Source organism: Homo sapiens, chromosome 7, assembly GCF_000001405.40.
Source record: "Homo sapiens chromosome 7, GRCh38.p14 Primary Assembly".
NCBI classification, from domain to species: Eukaryota; Metazoa; Chordata; class Mammalia; order Primates; family Hominidae; genus Homo; species Homo sapiens.
In genome coordinates, this window is record NC_000007.14 from 44,961,860 (window position 1) to 44,979,190 (window position 17,331).

General features: G+C 59.6%; 1 protein-coding gene across 2 annotated transcripts, besides 4 other annotated features; it reads right to left on the minus strand.

Annotated features, from left to right (window-relative positions):
- Positions 331-831: an enhancer, noted in NCBI's record as "H3K27ac-H3K4me1 hESC enhancer chr7:45001789-45002289 (GRCh37/hg19 assembly coordinates)". NCBI's record gives its function as "activates a minimal SCP1, AML or CMV promoter by ChIP-STARR-seq in primed H9 embryonic stem cells {active_cell/tissue: H9 hESC(primed)}" and the evidence as "EXISTENCE:reporter gene assay evidence [ECO:0000049][PMID:30033119]".
- On the minus strand, positions 803-17,156 carry MYO1G (myosin IG). Of its 2 annotated transcripts, NM_033054.3 has the most exons (22): positions 17,008-17,156; positions 15,004-15,212; positions 14,705-14,798; positions 13,625-13,790; positions 13,315-13,368; positions 10,256-10,366; positions 9,814-9,930; positions 8,976-9,200; positions 8,733-8,878; positions 8,181-8,295; positions 7,846-8,016; positions 7,554-7,624; positions 6,025-6,099; positions 5,746-5,878; positions 4,813-4,979; positions 4,214-4,421; positions 3,778-4,001; positions 3,086-3,230; positions 2,556-2,660; positions 2,190-2,303; positions 1,111-1,265; positions 803-1,036 (listed from the first exon to the last, which is right to left on the minus strand). In NM_033054.3, exons 1-22 carry the CDS (start codon positions 17,100-17,102, stop codon positions 880-882), a joined length of 3,057 nt encoding a protein of 1,018 aa, NP_149043.2. In that variant the 5' UTR covers positions 17,103-17,156; the 3' UTR covers positions 803-879. The 2 variants fall into 2 exon arrangements, 1 of the variants encoding a protein (NP_149043.2); XR_007060129.1 differs by lacking the exons at positions 803-1,036; positions 1,111-1,265; positions 3,086-3,230 and having other exon boundaries at positions 2,211-2,303.
- Positions 4,199-4,298: an enhancer, noted in NCBI's record as "active region_25958". NCBI's record gives its function as "activates an Ori minimal core promoter by ATAC-STARR-seq in GM12878 lymphoblastoid cells {active_cell/tissue: GM12878}" and the evidence as "EXISTENCE:reporter gene assay evidence [ECO:0000049][PMID:35858748]".
- Positions 12,125-12,204: a silencer, noted in NCBI's record as "silent region_18159". NCBI's record gives its function as "represses an Ori minimal core promoter by ATAC-STARR-seq in GM12878 lymphoblastoid cells {active_cell/tissue: GM12878}" and the evidence as "EXISTENCE:reporter gene assay evidence [ECO:0000049][PMID:35858748]".
- Positions 17,099-17,188: a silencer, noted in NCBI's record as "silent region_18160". NCBI's record gives its function as "represses an Ori minimal core promoter by ATAC-STARR-seq in GM12878 lymphoblastoid cells {active_cell/tissue: GM12878}" and the evidence as "EXISTENCE:reporter gene assay evidence [ECO:0000049][PMID:35858748]".

The window sequence follows — 17,331 nt, forward strand, 5'->3', positions numbered from 1 at the left end:
AGGGCTGAGGGGTTGAAGGGGCTGAGGGGCTGAGAGGCTGAAGGGGCTGAGGGGCTGAAGGAGGCTGAGGGCTAAGGGGTGAGGGGGATTGAGGGTGCTGAGGGGCTGAGAGAGCTGAGGGCTGAGGGGGCTGAGGGAGGCAGAGGGGCTGAGGGAGGCAGAGGGCTGAGAGGCTGAGGGCCTGGTGCCATGAGGGCCCCTGAGGGGCTGGCGGAGCTGCTGGAGGCTGAGGCTGGGGTAGGCCTGGAGATGGGGTGGTCAGCCTGGGGGCTGCAGGGGTCTCCCAAGGCCTCCCTGTGGGTCTTTCGAGGGCACAGGCCCTGCTCCCGGAGGCTGGGAGTTCTGGCCGCAGGGCCTGTCCTTCAGTTACTAGGCTCCAGAGGTCGGTCCCAGCGCCTCAGACACCCACATCCAGCAGGGACAGGGACAGCTCGCGGCTGGGATAGCGTCAGCCCTGGGCCACGGCGGCTTGGCACCACATCCCGTGACAGCTCTGTCTCCAGGCGTGCTCCCCAGCCCTGCCTGAAGATGAACCCCAAGCCCTCGCCAGTGGCCAGGTAGGAACAAGGCCAGGAGCCCTGTGGAGAGGAGCAGGGGACCACTGCGTGGACGGGGCAGGCTGGGGCACAAAGGGCACTGCTTCCTCTGGATAGCGCTAACTCCGAGAGCTCGGGCTCCTATCCCTAGCCGGGGCGCCTGGCCTCCTGCAGTCGGGTCCCCAGCGGGTGAGCCGGGCGCAGGTGGACCTGACCGAGGAGGCGGCCGGAGCCCCTGCGGGTGAGGCGGGAGCGGCGAGCAGGAGGGCTGACTCAGAAGGTTTATTTGCAGCGCTGGCGGGGCGGACAATTGGCGGCCTCGGGGTGCGGCGGGTGCGGGCGCTCAGCGGCTGGGCCAGAGCAGGGTGAAGGAGCCGCGAGCGCAGCGGAAATCGGGCTCTGGCTGCTCCGGCCTGGGCTCCACGGAGATGAGGCGCCGGACCCCGCGATGGCTTAGTGGGATGCAGTCGGAGACGCGAACCTCCAGGGTGCGGCCCTCCCTGCGGCAGGAGGAGGGGTCAGGGCGGCCACGCGGCCGGGGCTTCGTGCCCGCTACCGCCCAGCCTGCACTCACCCCTGGCAGTGTGCGGCCAGCACGCCCACCAGCTCCCCAACGCGGTTGTCCAATGGCGGCCGGGAGCGGTGCAGGCACACCACGAGGTCGTCCTGGCCGCGGGCGTGCAGCACCACCAGCTGGTCTCCTCCGCTGGTCACGCTCAGCCCCGTCACCTGAGCGGAGCGCGGGGTCAGAGTGCAGCCGCCTCAACCCGCACCCCAGCCTAGCCGGACTCACCCCCTCCCCAGGAAGCCTCTGCCGAACCCCCAACCGCACCCGGGGAGCGCCGCCCTCGCCAGGGCCACCAGCCCCCCACCGCCCCCTCCTCCCTCTCGGGGCCCTGCTGACAGGGGGAAGCTTGGGCGGGACGCTGCACAATACGATTTTCTCCAGGACTGATGGTTCTAGATCCTTGCTGTCCAACAGGGCCGCCACTGCTCACCTGTGGATGCTAAGCCCTTGCATGTGCTACTGCCTGGAGGAGCCGTTTTTAGTTCTAGGTCACTTTCACTGCATTTAAACAACCACGCCGGCTTTGGGCTGTGGCATTACACAGCAAGGCACTCACCGCCCTTTCTATTGGGACAGTCATGGGACCCCTGAAACTGTGGGAGACCCAGAGGTAGCCTGGCCTTGATCCCTACCCCCGTCTTGTGGGAAAGAGAATTTATGGGAACAGCAGCTGCTAATGAAGGGAGCAAGTAGGCCACAGAGCTCGGCAGAAGGTTCCGGAGTGGCCGGGACGGTATCCCACAGGAGGCCCAGAACATTGTGGTGGGTACTCAGGTCCCAGAATGCCCAGGTGGGAGAACCCCAGTTGGGCACAAGTTGGAAGAGGGGACCATTTGGCTTGGCTAGAGTGTGAGAGTGGGGGTGGGGGGTGACTGGGCTGGTGGGGATCACAGGATGGGACCTTTCACTCTGTGGGCGTGGGAAGCCACTGCAGGATTTTCAGCACGGGTGCCACCATCGCTGAGTTTTAGGATGGTCTGGGCCATCTCAGGTAAACAGGGGAGAGAAGACTGAGGCAGGACTCTGAGCAGCCCAGCAGTGCCCCTCACAGATGCTGCACCCTACTCCCCACCCACATTGCTCACCGCCTCAAGGGGCACGGCCCGCATCACCCGGTACTGCCGGTCAGGGTCCAGCTTGTAGAGGTGCTGGTCTGTGAGCAGGAGGGCCCGGTTCCGGATCTTGTGGAAGCGGTTCACCTGTGGGAGAGGTGGCTGGACCCAGGCTGGTGCTGCCCTGTCACCCACCAGGGCCCCAGGCTTCGGCAGTCCCTACTGCCTCCCCTCCCCGCTGGCGACAGTTTTGGGAGTGTCAGGAGCAGCTGGGCCTGGGCTGGGGTTGCCTCCATTTTCTCCCAAGTGCCCCCCCAAAACTCTGCACCAGCTTCTAACCTTGCAGACGTGGCTAGAAAAAGAGCACAGCCCTGAAGCCATCCTTGTCCCTTGTCTAACCTTGCGGACATGGCTTGAAAAGAGCACAGCCCCGAAGCCATCTTTGTCCTGAAGTGTCTTTAGTCGCTGAGCAAACAGGCTTGATGCTGTGGGATTGTCAGTGGCCTGAGGACAGATGGAGGGGAGGGGGCGCTGCTTGGGATTGAGTCATGGGACCAGACTCAATTGATAGCAGCTGTCTGTGAATCAGCATAGCTATCCTTCATCTCGGGAAACTGAGTCACACAGACTTGTGCGTGAGCTGAGCAGCCCTGGATTTCCTGAGGGCACAGAGCCCTCTTGTGTTGACTTCTAGGCTGCATCTGAGCCTGGCCCTCCTGTCATCCACACCCACCCCCGAAGGCCACTGCTCCTGAAGCCCAGGATGAGACCTTGCAGAGCTCTGGTGGGGGCTGAGGTACAGGGCCACCAGGACAGACAACCCCAGGCCTGGGAGAGGACATCTGAGGGGACCTGGTCACAGCATTAGCCGAGAGCCCTCTTTGGCAGCCCACTTCCCCCTGGCAGCCCTGGACTCGCCTGGCACTTACAGAGGACAGGTAGTCTCGGGCCCAGGCCCGTCGGCAGCCCCAGTCCTGACGAAGCCCTTGCAGGGCCCCCATGGCGGCCACCTTGGCCTTGATCTGGGGCATGTCTGAAGGGGGGATGTTCTTCACCAGCTGCCGGGCCCGCCACCTGGGAGAGGGCATGTAGTCAGACAGATGCTGGCCATGTGTTCATGTGCTCCCTGAGCCCCCTCTCCACAGAGGAAGCTGAGCCCTCAGCCTGGTGCTGCCTGCCTTTCATGTCCCAACCTCTGCCGGCCTCTCTGGCCTTGGCCCCTTGTGCCTAACGCTTGTTCCTGGAAGGTGACCCAGGGACCAGCAGTCGCCCAGTGTCCTCCTGTTCTGAGCATGCTCTGTGCCCCTCCTTCTGGAGAACTCCTACTCAGCCCTCAAGACCCCGCTCAGATGCAGAATCCCCTTACTTCCCAGCCCTAATGGGCCTCCCCCTGCAGGCTGCAGCCCTGGACCTTGAATGCCCACCACAGTACCCAAGATGGTCAGGGCTCTGCACCAACTGTGGGACATGAGCAGTCAGCTAATGTGGCATAGCATCCACCTTCCCACCTATCAAGGGGGCTGGTGTATCTCCCATCCAGGCACTGCAGGCCCGGGATGATGGGTTAAGGTATTCAGTGGATGCCAGCTGAATGGAATGTGTGGTGGGCTGAGAGTAGTACCTGCAGAAGAGTGCGTGGCAGGTGTCCTGGAAGGGCTGCAGCACAGCAGGGGGCAGCGGCCACACAAGGTCACGCCCGTAGAGTGGCGGCTGCCTTGCAGCCTGGAATCGCCGCTGCAGCTCAGCCAGGTGAGCCCGCACCTTGTGTCTCCGGAACCAGCGCATGATGGTGTAGATAGCCCTCAGCCTCCGGCAGCGCCACCTCGCCAAGGTGCCCCGCCATGCCTGGGTGGGCCAGGTGGGATGGGATACGCAGTCAAATTCAATCAGGCCCTAACCCTTAGACCCAAACCTGGCCCTGAGCATTTATTGAGCACTCCCTGGCCTGTCTCCATCAAGCAGAGACTCCTGTGAAACTTACAAGTGTGTTTGTGGCCCCTGGGACACAAGCTTTCCCCACCTCCATAGTGGATGTCTTCCTGCCCCGCCCACCTCACCTTCTGCAATAGCAGCACAATGATGGGGATGAGGCGGGCTCGGCTCTGCTCCAGTGTGACCAGTGTCCGGGGTGAGCGGATGAACAGCTTGCTGTGGCCAAAGGCCACGTCCCCCTGCAGCCCGTGCTGCTCCAGGAGAGCGCTCACGGCTGCCTTGTCGGAGCCCAGCAGGTGGTTGGGCCATGTGTATTCACAGGTCATCTTGTACCTGTCACCACAGGACAGGGCAGTGTGGCCCAGGCCTGGGGGAGAGATGATGGAGCCCACCCTGCCCACCCCACACCTGGGGAGATGGCAGGGATACAGAGTGTGTTCCTGGAGCACTTATGACACCTGTGCACATATGTCTTCCCATACACATGTCCTCACATACATGTCCTCACACAGCCCTCATACCCATGTTCCCACCTGTATGTCCCCACATGCATGTGCTCACACACATGTCTTCCCAGATATTTTGGTGTCTTGAGGCCAGCAGCGTGCTGGTTCCTGCTTGTATCGATGTTTGCGACGTGCTGTTTGGGGACCCTCTGCTCCTACCCCTTGGACTCCACACAGGGACTATGGCCCATGGAGTGATGGGTGTCAGGTGCCAGTACCTGAGCAGGAATCGAGAGTAGGGCTGGCGGGAAGCGAAGCCAGCCCTGCGGACCCTCACATTCTCCAGCAGCCCCAGGTATGCGACCTGGTGGCGACAGTGGTTCTCATCCAGCTTCCCAGCTACCTTGTCCTCATTGGGCTTGATGCAGCGGACGTAGAAGGGCTCCTGCAGGGACAGAGGGGACTTGGAGAGGGTCTGCGCCAGCAGCACTGTGCACCCTGCCCCACACCAGGGGCTTCCTAACCCCTCAAGGTCCCAGGCCAGGAGAAGAGTTGGGAACAAAGAAGGGAAATCAGCAGAACAAGGGCCCTGGAAGCCCTAAGTGCTGGGCAGAGGCCAGCAAGGCCAGGTTCAGAGCCAGGTTCCAGCCCCTGGTCGGGGGGTGGGGAGGTGGGCGTGGCAGGGGCAGGAGCAGGCCTCGCCCCATCTGCCTTCCTTCTCTCCTTCCAAAAGGGGCTGACATCTCTGGATGTTCTGTAGTTAAGCTCACCCTAACATGTCCTCTCCCTGACCCTTCACCTGTTCCTCTTCTGACTTTTGACCCAAAGCTCCCCAAGAAAGCTTGTGCCAGTTTCCTGTCTCTCTGGCCCCACCTGCCAGAAGAATCCTGGGTTTTTGCCAAGAGCTGGGCTGGGCCAAGCCAGCCTCTCAGCAGGGTCTCCCCAAACCCCTCCCTGTTCAAGAGACAATGGGGCGAGGAGAAGCCTGGGTTCCCCATGATTGATCAAGCCTCAGCCCAGCCCCTGAGGCCCCACATCTCACCTGTGCAGTGGGTGGGGTCCACTGCTGGAGCAGATGTGGCTCATACAGACAGGACAAGAACCCTCTCCCCACCACTATGATGTACAGAGGTGGTTGGGACCCTACTTGGCACCGAGGGCACAGAGAGAAGGATCCGGAACAGCCAGAGTGGGAGAGGGGTGGAACATACCTTGGAGGCAAGGTTCTCCACCAGGGCCACCATGGAGTTCTTGAAGAGTGTGCCAGCCGTCAGGGGGCGCTTGGTCACCTCTGTGATGTCCTGCTGCCCGTCCGGCCACATGGCCCGTAGAGTGGGGTCCGTGCTGCAGACACAGGCCGAATTCCCAGCCATCCTCTGGGAGAGCAGCCCCACCCACCCACGTCCTGACGCTAGTCAATGCCTGACCCCAGAGTCTCTGGGGCCCCAGGGCCCTGGCCCTCCCTATGGTGCCCAGCAAGCCGTGCTCACCTGTTGTACAGCAGCCGCTTGAAGTCCTGGAAGAGGAAATCTCTGTTCTTGTCGATGAAGCCTTCCACGGAGTACCTACCAGAAGCCAGGGCTGGTGAGGGAGCAGGGGCGGGGGCTGCCAGGCCAGAGTGCTAATGACCCCAGCAGCCCCCACTCTCTTCCCATCTGCCTCTGTTCCCATAGGTCAGTCTCTCTTCCTCCCTCTGCCTTGGCTCCTCTCCTCCTTCCCCCTCACACCTGCTTTCTCTTTCGTCATGTAAGACTCCCTCCCTCAGGAGACATTTCTCTCCTGGAAGATGAATCGAGTGGTTAAGCCCCCAGCTCTGAAGCCAAATGTCCTAGCACCGAGTCCTGCTTCTACCACATGCATGCTGTGTGACTTTGCCTAAGCCACTCAACCTCTCTGTGCTTCAGTGTACATCAGTTGCTCAGAACAGTGCCTACTGAATTTTGATAAACATCAGCGACTACAACTATGACTAGGAACTCCTGAGTCCTGGGCCTATTTTGATCTGTGGGCACTGAGAGCCTCAGAATCACTGTCTAGTTCTTGGACTGCTAGAAAGGTCAGTGCCAAATCTTGGCTCCAACTGCAGCACCTATGAAGGCTCAGGGAATGGATTTTTTTTTTTTTTTTTTGAGAAATAGTCTCACTCTCTTGCCCAGGCTGGAGTGCAGTGGTGCGATCTCAGTTCGCCACAACCTCTACCTCCCAGGTTCAAGCAGTTCTTGTGCCTCAGCCTCCCGAGCAACTGGCATTACAGGCACGCGTCATCGTGCCCGGATAATTTTTATATTTTTAGTACAGATGAGGTTTTGCCATGTTGGCCAGGCTGGTCTCGAACTCTTGGCCTCAGGTGATCCACCCACTTTGGCCTCCCAAAGTGCTGGGGTTACAGGCATGAGCGACCTCATGGGTGTAGATTTTGCGAACAGATAAAGGTAGATGATATTGGGCTGCTTTGTTGTCATCATCTATTCTATTCCCTCTCCTTGAGAAGTTCTCATGAAACACTTATACCTTGATGTGAGTCACCTTAAATCGTTTTGGGATGCGGCAAGCAACACATAAGTTAATAGCCATCATGACAACCCCTGAAGACACCTGGGCTTTGGCACTGGGAGCGTGGTCCAAGTATGGTAGCGAGGCCTCACCTGGGAGCTTGTTAGAAATGCAGAATCTTGGCCCCCCTGCACCTTCCACTCCCTCCCCACCCCCACATCACCAGCCTGAAGCCCCCCACCCCACAGATGCTGGTATAGGGTTGGGCCCAGACATGAGACGTGGGTATTTTTTAAAGGCTCCCAGAAGAATGCAGCCATGGTTAACCACTATCCTCAAACCCTGTTTCCTGCTCTTCACTTGTGAATCTGCTGTCCGGCATGTTTCAGTGTCTTAAAGGGGTGGGGGTGGCAGAAGTGGCCATAACACCTGTCTCCGAGCCACTCCCCTGAAGCGCTCCTGCCCCATGACACATGCCATGGTGCCTGTGGGAAAGCCAGGGATGTGGGTGGGAGGGGGCCCTTACGTGACGTCCCCTGCATAGTGCTTGATCCGGAAGTCTCGGCCAAACTCCATGGTCTTGTCTGTGGGGCAGAGCTATGGGGACAGGCTGAGGTCAAGGCACAAAAGGTATGTGGAGGGTCTGTATGAAGGGATAGCCCTGCCTCCCCACCTCCAGGGCAGAGAAGGTTGCCACAGTGACGACAATGGCACCAAAGCTGGGTCCCCAACCAGGCCCCACGAGGCATGGGCAGCATGGTGCCTGTGGGGCAGGTCCCACCAGCCCACTGTGGTGGCACTGGGACAGCCGGGGGCACCTGGCGGCTGGTGTAGTGTAGGTGATGGCGGTGGTGCATGTCCAGGGTCTGCAGGAAGATTCGGTCAGTGATGGTGCCAGCAGAGCTGCAGGCCTCGTCCAGCACGGCCAGGATGCCACGGTGGGGCCGCTCCACCAGATCCACAATGGTGGCGTTGTTGAAATACTCAACCTGGGGCAAAGGCAGCCAGCAAGGAAGCTCCCAAGGTCTTTCAGGCCACCTCCCCTCCTCCGCCCCACACTCAGCCACCTGTCAGGCCAGCCCGGGCCCCTCCCCATGGGCTGAGGCCCCTCCACACCCCACTGCCTGGCCTCCCTCCAGGCCACAGTGCTCACGCTCTGCCAGGTGATGCCCTCGCGCTCGTACTCTTCCTGTTCCTGCTTCAGGATGAGCTGGATGAATAGCTGCTGCAGCTTCTCGTTGCAGTAGTTGATGCAGAACTGCTCGAAACTGGGGGTGGGGTGGGCCTTTCAGAGGGGAGGTCGCTGCTTGTGGAGTGCATGGTAATGGGTGGCTGCTCCCCTGAACATCTCTGCTAATGTTCATTGAGGGTTCTGGTGCCAGCACCCTGTGTGGCTTCCCTGTGGCTTATGCATCCCTGCCCTGGACTCCTTTACCCCACCCACACCTCCTGCATGCACGTTCTGGAGTGGACTTGGGAGTCACAACCAGGAATTACTCATGCCCCGTAATTCTGCCTTCCATCAGGACATCAATGGTCAGAGGGTGCAGGTGAGGCAGGTTTGGGAGGCATGAGCCTTGGGCCCAGGGACCAGCCGGGAGAAACCCCAACATTCCTGCTGCCCAGCCCCAGCCGAGCTTTCCAGAACTAAGTGGGCAAAGCTGCTGGGTGTCAGAGGTGGAGATGTGGCTGGCCAGCCACCCACCTGTTGACGGGAAACACCTCGAAGCCATAGATGTCCAGCACGCCAATGACTGTGTCCTTGCCATCACGCCGAGGATCCCGGCCCCGGGGTTCCATGACACTGTTGATCCTGTTCACCACCCACTCAAACAGCCGCTGGTACACTGCCTGGGGGATAGGAACACCCTGCTTCCTGCTGCCTCTGGCCTGGCCTCCCCCATGAAGGCCTCCTGGGCTTCCCTCCCTGTGCCTGCCCCCAAAGTACCTTGGCACAGGCATCCCGGGCATAGCTGGCCTCAGCTGCAGTGTGGCCCTTCTCTATGAGTTCCCTGCCTCCCGAGGCAACTGTGCGAGCCAGCAGGGAGCGGAGCACGAGGTCCCGGGGTGTGGCCGTCAGCTCAGCCACATGGTCCACCAGTGCCTCCTCGGCCACTGCCAGGCCCTCCTTCTGCAGCCCACCCTCCTCCGTCTCCACAAACTCGATGTTTCCCTGGTGATGGGAAAACCATGAACAGTCCGGGCTCCATGTCTCAAAAGAGCCTGGACAACTTTGGACAAGAAGGAGGAAGGAAAGCAGGGGACATGGATGCGGTAGAGTACAGCTCCTTCTCAGACCAGCATGGTCAGCTGCTCACCATGGGCACAGACACAGCCAGAGACTGGGGGAAGGGGGCATGGGCACACCAGAGTCTCTGCCAAGGCCTCGAGGCCTCGAGTCCAAATGACATGTGAATGACCCCATCGCATCCTCCCACAGCCAGCGGAGCCCTGCACTACTTACTCCTCATGCCGCTTAGAGAGAACTGAGGCCAAGAGGCACTGAGTAAATGCAACCAAAGCCACACAGCTCATGACTGCACTAAGAGGCAGTCTGCATGATGCTCAGCTTTTACTGCGCCTGGCTGACCTGGCCCTAAGAATGGGGTCTGGACCATGTATCAACTGAGCTCATCACTCGAGCAGCTCAGCTTCTGCAGGAGAGGCAGTCAGCCTAGCACATTGCTGGGGCATCTCCAGCCAGTCTCCTCCTCATCCCTGGGTGCTTCCCAGCCAGGAAACCCTTGTGGGGAAGTAGCCCTCCCAGGCTTCTGAGCCAGGCTCACCAGGTGCAATATGGCAGCCAGGATGCGATGCACAGACTCCACCTCTTCAGGACTGAAGCCGATGACCCTCATGGCCTCGGTCACTGCCTGGTGGCTCTGCTCATCACTGTCCAAGGCCTAGGGTAGAAGGGATTCATCACTCCAAAGCCACACTGGGCCCAGGACACCTGTCTCCCTTGAGGCTTGATTCCTCCATCCTAGGCACCTGCTCACCCCTGTCCCCTGTCCCCTTCCTGAACCTGATTACTCCAGCCTAAGCACCTGCTCACCCCTGCACTCTGTCCCCTCCATCAGCCATTTTCACTCCACCCCGAGCACCCTCCCCACTCACGCAAACAGTTCACTTCACCCTGGCCTGTGCTGAGTGCTGCCCATTCCCTACCACCACACTCAGGCCCTGACACTGAGCCCAGTTTGAGCCCTTGGTGCCCCTCACACTCACACTGTGCACAGTCATGTTGAGTCCTGCTCCCTGGTGTGTGAAATTGTATACAGCAGGGTTTCTCTCCAAGTGCAGTTCATGCAGCTGCTTGTCCTCACTGCCTCTCAGCAACTAGAGGACACAGGCATCCTTTAGACAAATAAGCTCCCAGGATGTCCCCCTGTACACACACACAGGCAGGAGAACAAACAGACTTGCGCTTCCTTCCAGTATTGAACGAACAAACGTGGGGGAAGGTCAGACAGTGTGAACAGTTTCTGTGTGCCAGCAAGCTCCCCATTCAGCTGTTCAGTGGGTCAGGGAGCTCCACTTCAGTGGGAGCTATGACTCCACCATGAAGTCACTGTTCTTGTGCCAGACCTCATCTTGGTAGGGAGCTCAGTCCCTGTGGAGACATTGCCCTCGACCCAGGGGGATCCCACCTCAGTGGGTAGCTCAGAGTATGTGGAGACACTACCCGGGTCCCAAAACCTCCCACTGAGTGAGGAGGTAAGAGTTTGTGGACAAACTGCAGAATCCTAGGGAGCTCCACTTCAGTGGGAGCTCAGAGTTACTGGAGACCCTGCCCCTGTCCCAGGAAGCTCCCACCTCAGTAGGGAGCACAGGTTCCGTGGAGACATTGCTCTCCACCCAGGGAGAGCCCATGTCCTAGGGAGCTCAGCGTCTGTGGAGACACAACTGGTGCCACATGAACTCCCACCTCAGCAGGGAGCTCAGAGTCCATGGAGACACTGCCTGTGTCCCAAAAGTTCCCACTTCACTGGAGGTGGTAAGAGTCTGTGGAGATCCTGCTGTTATTCCAGAGAGCTCCACTTCAGTGGGAGCTTAGAGTCTGTGGAGACCCTGCCCTGTGTCCCAAGGGGCTCCCACTAGTGGGAAGCTCAGATTCCACAGAGACAATGGTCATGTCGCAGAGAGCTTCCACCTCATAGGGGAATGGAGAGTTTGTGGAGACATCGCCCATGTCCGAGGGAGCTCCCAGCTCCGTGAGGAGCTCAGAGACCATAGAGACACCGCCAGTGTCCCAGACAGCCCTACTTCATGGAAACTCAGAGTCTGCGTGGACACTCCTTGTGTTCCAGAGGGCTCCCACCTCAGGGAAGCTCAGAGTTCTTGGACACTGACTGATTCCCAGGGAGCTCCACTTCAGCGGGAGCTCAGAATCCGTGGAGACGTTGCCACTGTCCCAGTGAGCTCCACTTTGGTGGGAGTTCAAAGTCCAAGGAGATAGTGCCCCTGTCCCAGGGGGCTCTTACCTCAGAGCAGAGCCCAAAGTTGATAGAGACACTGCCTGTGTCCAAGACACAGCCCACCTGAGTGGGCAGCCCAGAGTCCGTGGAGACACTGCTTCACATGTCCCACTGAGCTCCCACCTCGGTGGGTAGCTCAGAGTCCTTAAAGACACTGTCCATGCTCCAAAGAGCTCCATTTCATGGGAGTTCAGAGTCTGAAAAAAACTCTCTGTGTCCCAGGGAGCTCCCACCTCAGTGGAGAGTTTATAGTTCATGGAGACCCTGCCCAAATCCTGTGGAGCTCCCACCTCATGGGGAGCTCAGAGTCTGTGGAGACCCTGGCAACGTCCCAGGGAGCAATCCCCTCAGCCAGGAGCTCAGAGTCATTAGAGACAATGCCCATGTGCCACCGAACTCCCCCTTCAATGGGGGAACTCTGAGTCCATGGAGACCCTGCCCATGTCCCAAAATCTCCCATTTCAGTGGGGAGGTAAGAGTCTGTGGAGATCCTGCCGGAGTCCCAGGGAGCTTCATTTCAGTGAGAGCTCAGAGTCTGTGGAGACGCCCTCTGTGTTCCCAGGGGCTCCCACCAGGGGGAGGCTCAGAGTCTGTGGAGACACTGCCAGTGTCTCAGGGAGCTTTTACCTCAAATAAAGGTCAGAGTCCACAGAGACACTACTGGTTTCCCAGTGAGCTCCCACCTCAGTGCAGACTCACTGGAAAGACAGCCCAGGGGGCTCCCACCTCAGTGGAGTTCAGAGTCCTTACAGACACTGCTGTGTCCCAGAGAGTGTGACTTCAGTGGGAAGTCAGAGTCGTGAAGACACTGCCGTGTCCCAGGGAGCACCACACCATGGAAGCTCAGAGTCCTTAAAGGCACTCCTTGCATCCCAGGAGGCTCCCACCTCAGCGGGCGGTTCATAGACCCTGGAGACCCTGCCCGCTACCCAGGGAGCTCCTGTCTCATGGGGAGCACAGAGTCTGTGAGACACTGTGCTTGTCTCAGGGAGCTCCCACCTCAGTAAAGAGCTCAGAATCCATGGAAACACCGCCTGTGTACCAGGGAGAAACTGCTGTGTTCCAGGGAGCTCCCACTGCACTGGGGAGCTGAGAGTTGGTGGGGACCATGTCTGTGCTGCAGGGAACTCCTAACTCAGTGGGGAGCTCCAAGTCCCTAGAGACACTGCTCCAGTCATAGGGTGCTCCCAGTTCAGTGGGGGAGTTCGGAGTCTGTGGAAACACTGTCTGTGAACCAGAGGACACAGTGGGCAGGCCACAGTTTGCAAACACACCGCTGGCGTGCCAGGGAGCTCCACTTCAGTGTCAAGCTCTGAGACTGCAGAGACACTGTTTGTTTCCAGGGAGCTCCCACCTCAGTGGGGTGTCAAAGCTTGTGGAGACAGTCCCTGGGCGCGCCTATCTCACAGAGGTGCTCAGAGTCAATGCCCGTGTCCCCAGGAGCACCACTTCAGTGTTGAGCTCTGATACCACTAGAGACACTGCCTGTAATCCCAGGGGAAGCCCACCTCGTGGGGAGCTTATTGTTCACAGAGACACTTATGGGTCCCAGAGAGCCCTCATCTGGAGGTGTCTCAGATAAAGGGGACATCCTGCTTTTGTTCCCTGCAAGTCACACCCTCTTGTTTGTGGGGTGTGGGGTACTGGTTGGGGTGAGTGTGGTGGGGAGTGAGGACGATGGGCTAGGTGGGGTTGAGTGGGCAGAGAGGGGGAATTGGGGTAGTGATGGAAGGGTCACAAGCTGGTCCAGCTTGCTGCCCTCCCTTTCCCCACCCCATTTTTCCACCTCCCCTTGCCCTCAGGGCTTACTTGGTAGAAGGCGTGGAAGTTTCTTTCACCCACGTGCTGCTTGAGGACCCGAGACTGAGGAGAGAGGGGCAGATGGACTCAGGCCTGGGAAGGAGTCTGACCCTGGGGACCCCATCTGAACATTCCCAGGTGCAAGGCAGGCTGGGGGTCAGAGAGTCCTGACTATGAGGACACTGAGGCCCAGAGAAGGGCCACAGGGAGAGACAGCCCAGCCCTCCTAAGCTGCACCGTCGGGATGGGTACCTTCCCAGGCCTGGGATGGGTCTCGGCCAGGGCTCCCCATGGAGGTCTCCTCAGCCCACCTGCCCACCTTCTCCAGTAGGTAGCTGTGGATGTGTCCTCCGATCGGGTCCCCCTTGAAGTCAAAGTTGATGTCCATGTACTTGCCAAAGCGGCTGGAGTTGTGATTGCGGTTGGTGCGGGCATTGCCAAAGGCCTCCAGCACACAGGTGGACTTGAGCAGCACGTCCTTGACCCTGTCAGGGCAGAGGGGCTGGGTCTTAAGGCAAAGACTTCCCATCTGGGGAATGCTGTCTCTGCCCCTGAGTCTTCCCAACAGAAATCACAGCATCTCAGGATGAGTTCCTCTGAACTTGCTGAGAGGGAACCAATGGCCTGGCCTCGCCCAGTGTTGCCTCTGAGGTTGTGTGACGGTCACTTCACCTCTGAGAGGCTGGGAAATGCACTTGCCGGGCTGGCTGTGCTCAGCATGGTCTGTGTAGCATTGAGGTCCTTGTTTCTCACAGCCACCTCTTCCCCTCCCAGGCCTCAGCTGCAGCCTGGGGAGGAGGGGCTGTTCTGACCACTGGGCTTTAGACCTCCAGCTGCAGGGGTGGGCAGTGGTGCTGGCCATATGTGCTCAGGAACTGACATTGCTTGTCCCCCCTGAATCCCATCTCGCTGCCTCTTGATAGGAAGAGACAGGCACTGACAGAGGAAGCTGCTTCCATAAGGGACAGGTTTCCTGGTTTCAAGGCTCCTGGCCATCACCCACACAGCCACCTGGCATGCTTGGCCATCTTGGCCAGGGCCTGCCAGCTTCTCCAGGTTTCCATGGAATCTGCCTGCTGCCCTGTCCATGAGCCATTTCAAGCATCTCTGGGCCCTGCTGCACTTCTCCTCATCCTACCTGTGGCTGCTGCCTCCTCCCAGCTGGTAGGCCCAGTACCTTGGCTAGGTCTCACCCACCCAAGGAGAGGTCCTTGGCATGGGTCACCCTGTCTCACCTCCGGGTGTGTTGGCATTATCTGGAAACTTCCCAAGTTCCCACTGAACTTGACCTGAGCTAGACTCCAGTTGCCGTCTCTCACTCCCCAGAGCCAGCCCTTCCTGCCACACTGAGGTCCCTGGCCTGCCATGCTGAGGCCCAGAGCTGCCCATTGCCACTCACCTCTCCACCTCAGCCCTCTGGCTTGGATTGGTGACAGCAGCGATGTACTGCATGATGTGCTTACTGGCTTCTGTCTTCCCTGCCCCACTCTCCCCTGCCGGAAAGACCAGAGTTGAGAGAATCAGCCAGGTTCGCTCTCTTAGCCCAGCTCCCTGTGCCCACTCACACCCCCAAGACTGGCAAGATGGGGTCCTAGGGCCCCCATCAGGACACAGGGCACAGGAGATGCTCTAATGGCCCTCCCAAATGTTCACAAATGAAGATGCCGAGGGTGGGGGCCCGGCGGCAGGGACAGGTACCTGAGATGACGATGCAGGTGTCCCTGGACCGGTGCTTCATTGCCTTGTAGGCGGCGTTGGCCACAGCATAGAGATGGGGTGGCCGCTCATAGAGCTCACGGCCCTGGTACCTGGCGATGGCCTCAGGCCCATACAGGGGCAGCTCCTGGTAGGGGTTCACGGACACCAGCACCTCACCGATGTAGGTGTAGATGCGGCCCTTCTCGAACCTGGACACAGCAGGGGTAGGCCTCAGCACTCACAGGCTTACAGGCACCCACAGGCCTTTCGCCAGAGCCCATATCAGGGCCTGGCCCCAGTAGGCCAGCGCTCCCACCCTGACGGGCTGAGAGTGGAGAAGGAAGAAGGGGGCAGGTGTTGACCTTGCGTCTCCCTGGTGCCATCCTGGGTGAGCTGAGCCACTCAGAGACTGTCTCCATTGCGGCATAGAGTTTGGGGTCCACAGTGGTCTCCCCAGGGATCCCAAGGTCACTGGAAACATGACCACTCATTTTGCAAAGGAAACAGACTTGCCCAAGACTGCACTGGGTGCCGTGAGTCAGGGCTGGCTCCTGGGGTGAACCCCGCAGGGCAGATGGGGAGATGGGGTTGAGAAGTGACTGGGCTGGGAGGGGAAGGAGGGGCCTCCTCGGCTGTTTCCTGTCTCAAGGCCTGGGCGGGAACCCAGAGACAAAAGGGGACCCCACCCAGCCCCACCCAGATGACAGGGAGGGAGTTGATGTCGTTGTCTTTACACCCCCGACCCCCCAGCCTGTGGCCAGTGGCTGCTGCCTCTCCCCTGGCACAGCCTCAGACTTCTTGACCCTTTCCTTCACAAACCTGGTCCCCAGTGGGGGTGGATGTCTGCCCTTCTCTTGACCTTTCTGCCCCTGGGAGGAGGACTGGCAGGCCTGCCCCTCAGACCCATCTCCCCTTGGTGTGTGGTACCCACCCTTCCCTGGATGGCCCTGTCTCCCGGCAGCCTGTCCTGGGTGGGCCTGTCCTGAGGTTCCTCTTTCTCCACCACCTCTGACATGGGTTTTCCTGGGCCTAGCTCCCATCCTCCTACAAGCTGGGGATGAGGGCACAAGTCACCCACGTCTCCAGGGCTCAGTGTTCTCCTCATCAAAATAGAGAGGACAATGTTTCATAAGCTCATTTTATAAGAATGAGGTAGAACAATGTGCACAAAGTGCTTAGCTCACGTCCTGGCTAGCCCTCCTCTTTGAGCCAGGCTCGTGGTCTCTTGCCTTCGGTGCTTAGTGGGGATCCTGGTCCCCAAGCTCTCCCCAGGGAGCTTCCGGAGTACACAGCGAGTGGCCTTCTGCCCCTCCCTGGGAGTCCTGGCAGGAAGCCCAGCTGCCTGTATGGCCACCCTACTGTGCCATGCCCCTACCTCCCGGGCTTCTCCCTGCCCTCCACCTGCCCTCCTTGATGGTAAATTGGGCTCCAATATCACTTCTACCAACTGTGTCCTGTGATACTCCATGTACCCCAGGAGAATGTCACCTCAACTTGGTGGGAATGTTTGGACCCTAGGGTGGAGCCTGACTGCTTCATCTCAGTGTCCCCAGGGCTCAGGCCAGGCCCCATGGATGAGATGCATCGAGGGAGCATCAACAACTGGCTGGGAAGTGGCTGGAGGGAGGTGCCCCTGGTCCCTCCTGGAAAGATAGTGCCTGGTATGTATCTGTCCAAGAAGTGTCATGCCCTGGCCCCGTCGGGCAGGAAAGAAGGGGCAGAAGATGCCTGGACTGTGTGGGAGGCAGGGGTGGGTTGAGGTGGTGGGCAGCTCCGGTGCTGACTTGCCAGCCCTGACAGGGACAGTTGCCTCCTTGTCTGTTCCTGTCCCCTGGGGCCGTGCTTTGAGGCACTCATTTCAGCCCCATCTGGTCTGGGTGGGTGTGTGCCACTGCCCCCTCCCTTGGACAGCAGCGTGCCTTCCTCTTTCCCTCAGGTCTCTGCGAGGACGCAAGGTGGGAGACCCTGGAGGAGGGGAGCCACTGCCTCCTGCCCTGGGCCTACCTGAGCTGCAGGTTCCTCATGAAGTCCTCCATGGTCACTTGGTCCAAAAGCACAAAGTCAGGTTTGCCATACTCAGGGCCTTCCTCGTCCTCCATCCTGCCGGCTGGAAACACCTTGCCTCACCTTCCTGTGCCTGCTGGAAGGACAGTGAAGGAGAGGGGGAGGGAAGGCTAGGGGAGGCCCCACCGCCCCCGCCCTGCCCCACCAGCCTCCTCCAGTGCTGGTGTAAAGTAGGAAGTGGGTTCTAGTCCTGGGAGGGGCTGCCCTCCGCACTTGCCACTCCTTCCCCCTCGAGGTGCTCTAAACCCTGCTTCCTGTCCCTGC

Excerpts from the sequence above, each read along its gene's own strand:
- MYO1G (NM_033054.3), bottom strand. The coding sequence starts at position 17,102 with ATGGAGGACGAGGAAGGCCCTGAGTATGGCAAACCTGACTTTGTGCTT. Across the intron at positions 14,799-15,003 it reads CACCTGCATCGTCATCTCAG|GGGAGAGTGGGGCAGGGAAG; the intron begins GTACCTGTCCCT and ends TCTTTCCGGCAG. Across the intron at positions 8,017-8,180 it reads AGGGCATCACCTGGCAGAGC|GTTGAGTATTTCAACAACGC; the intron begins GTGAGCACTGTG and ends CCTTTGCCCCAG.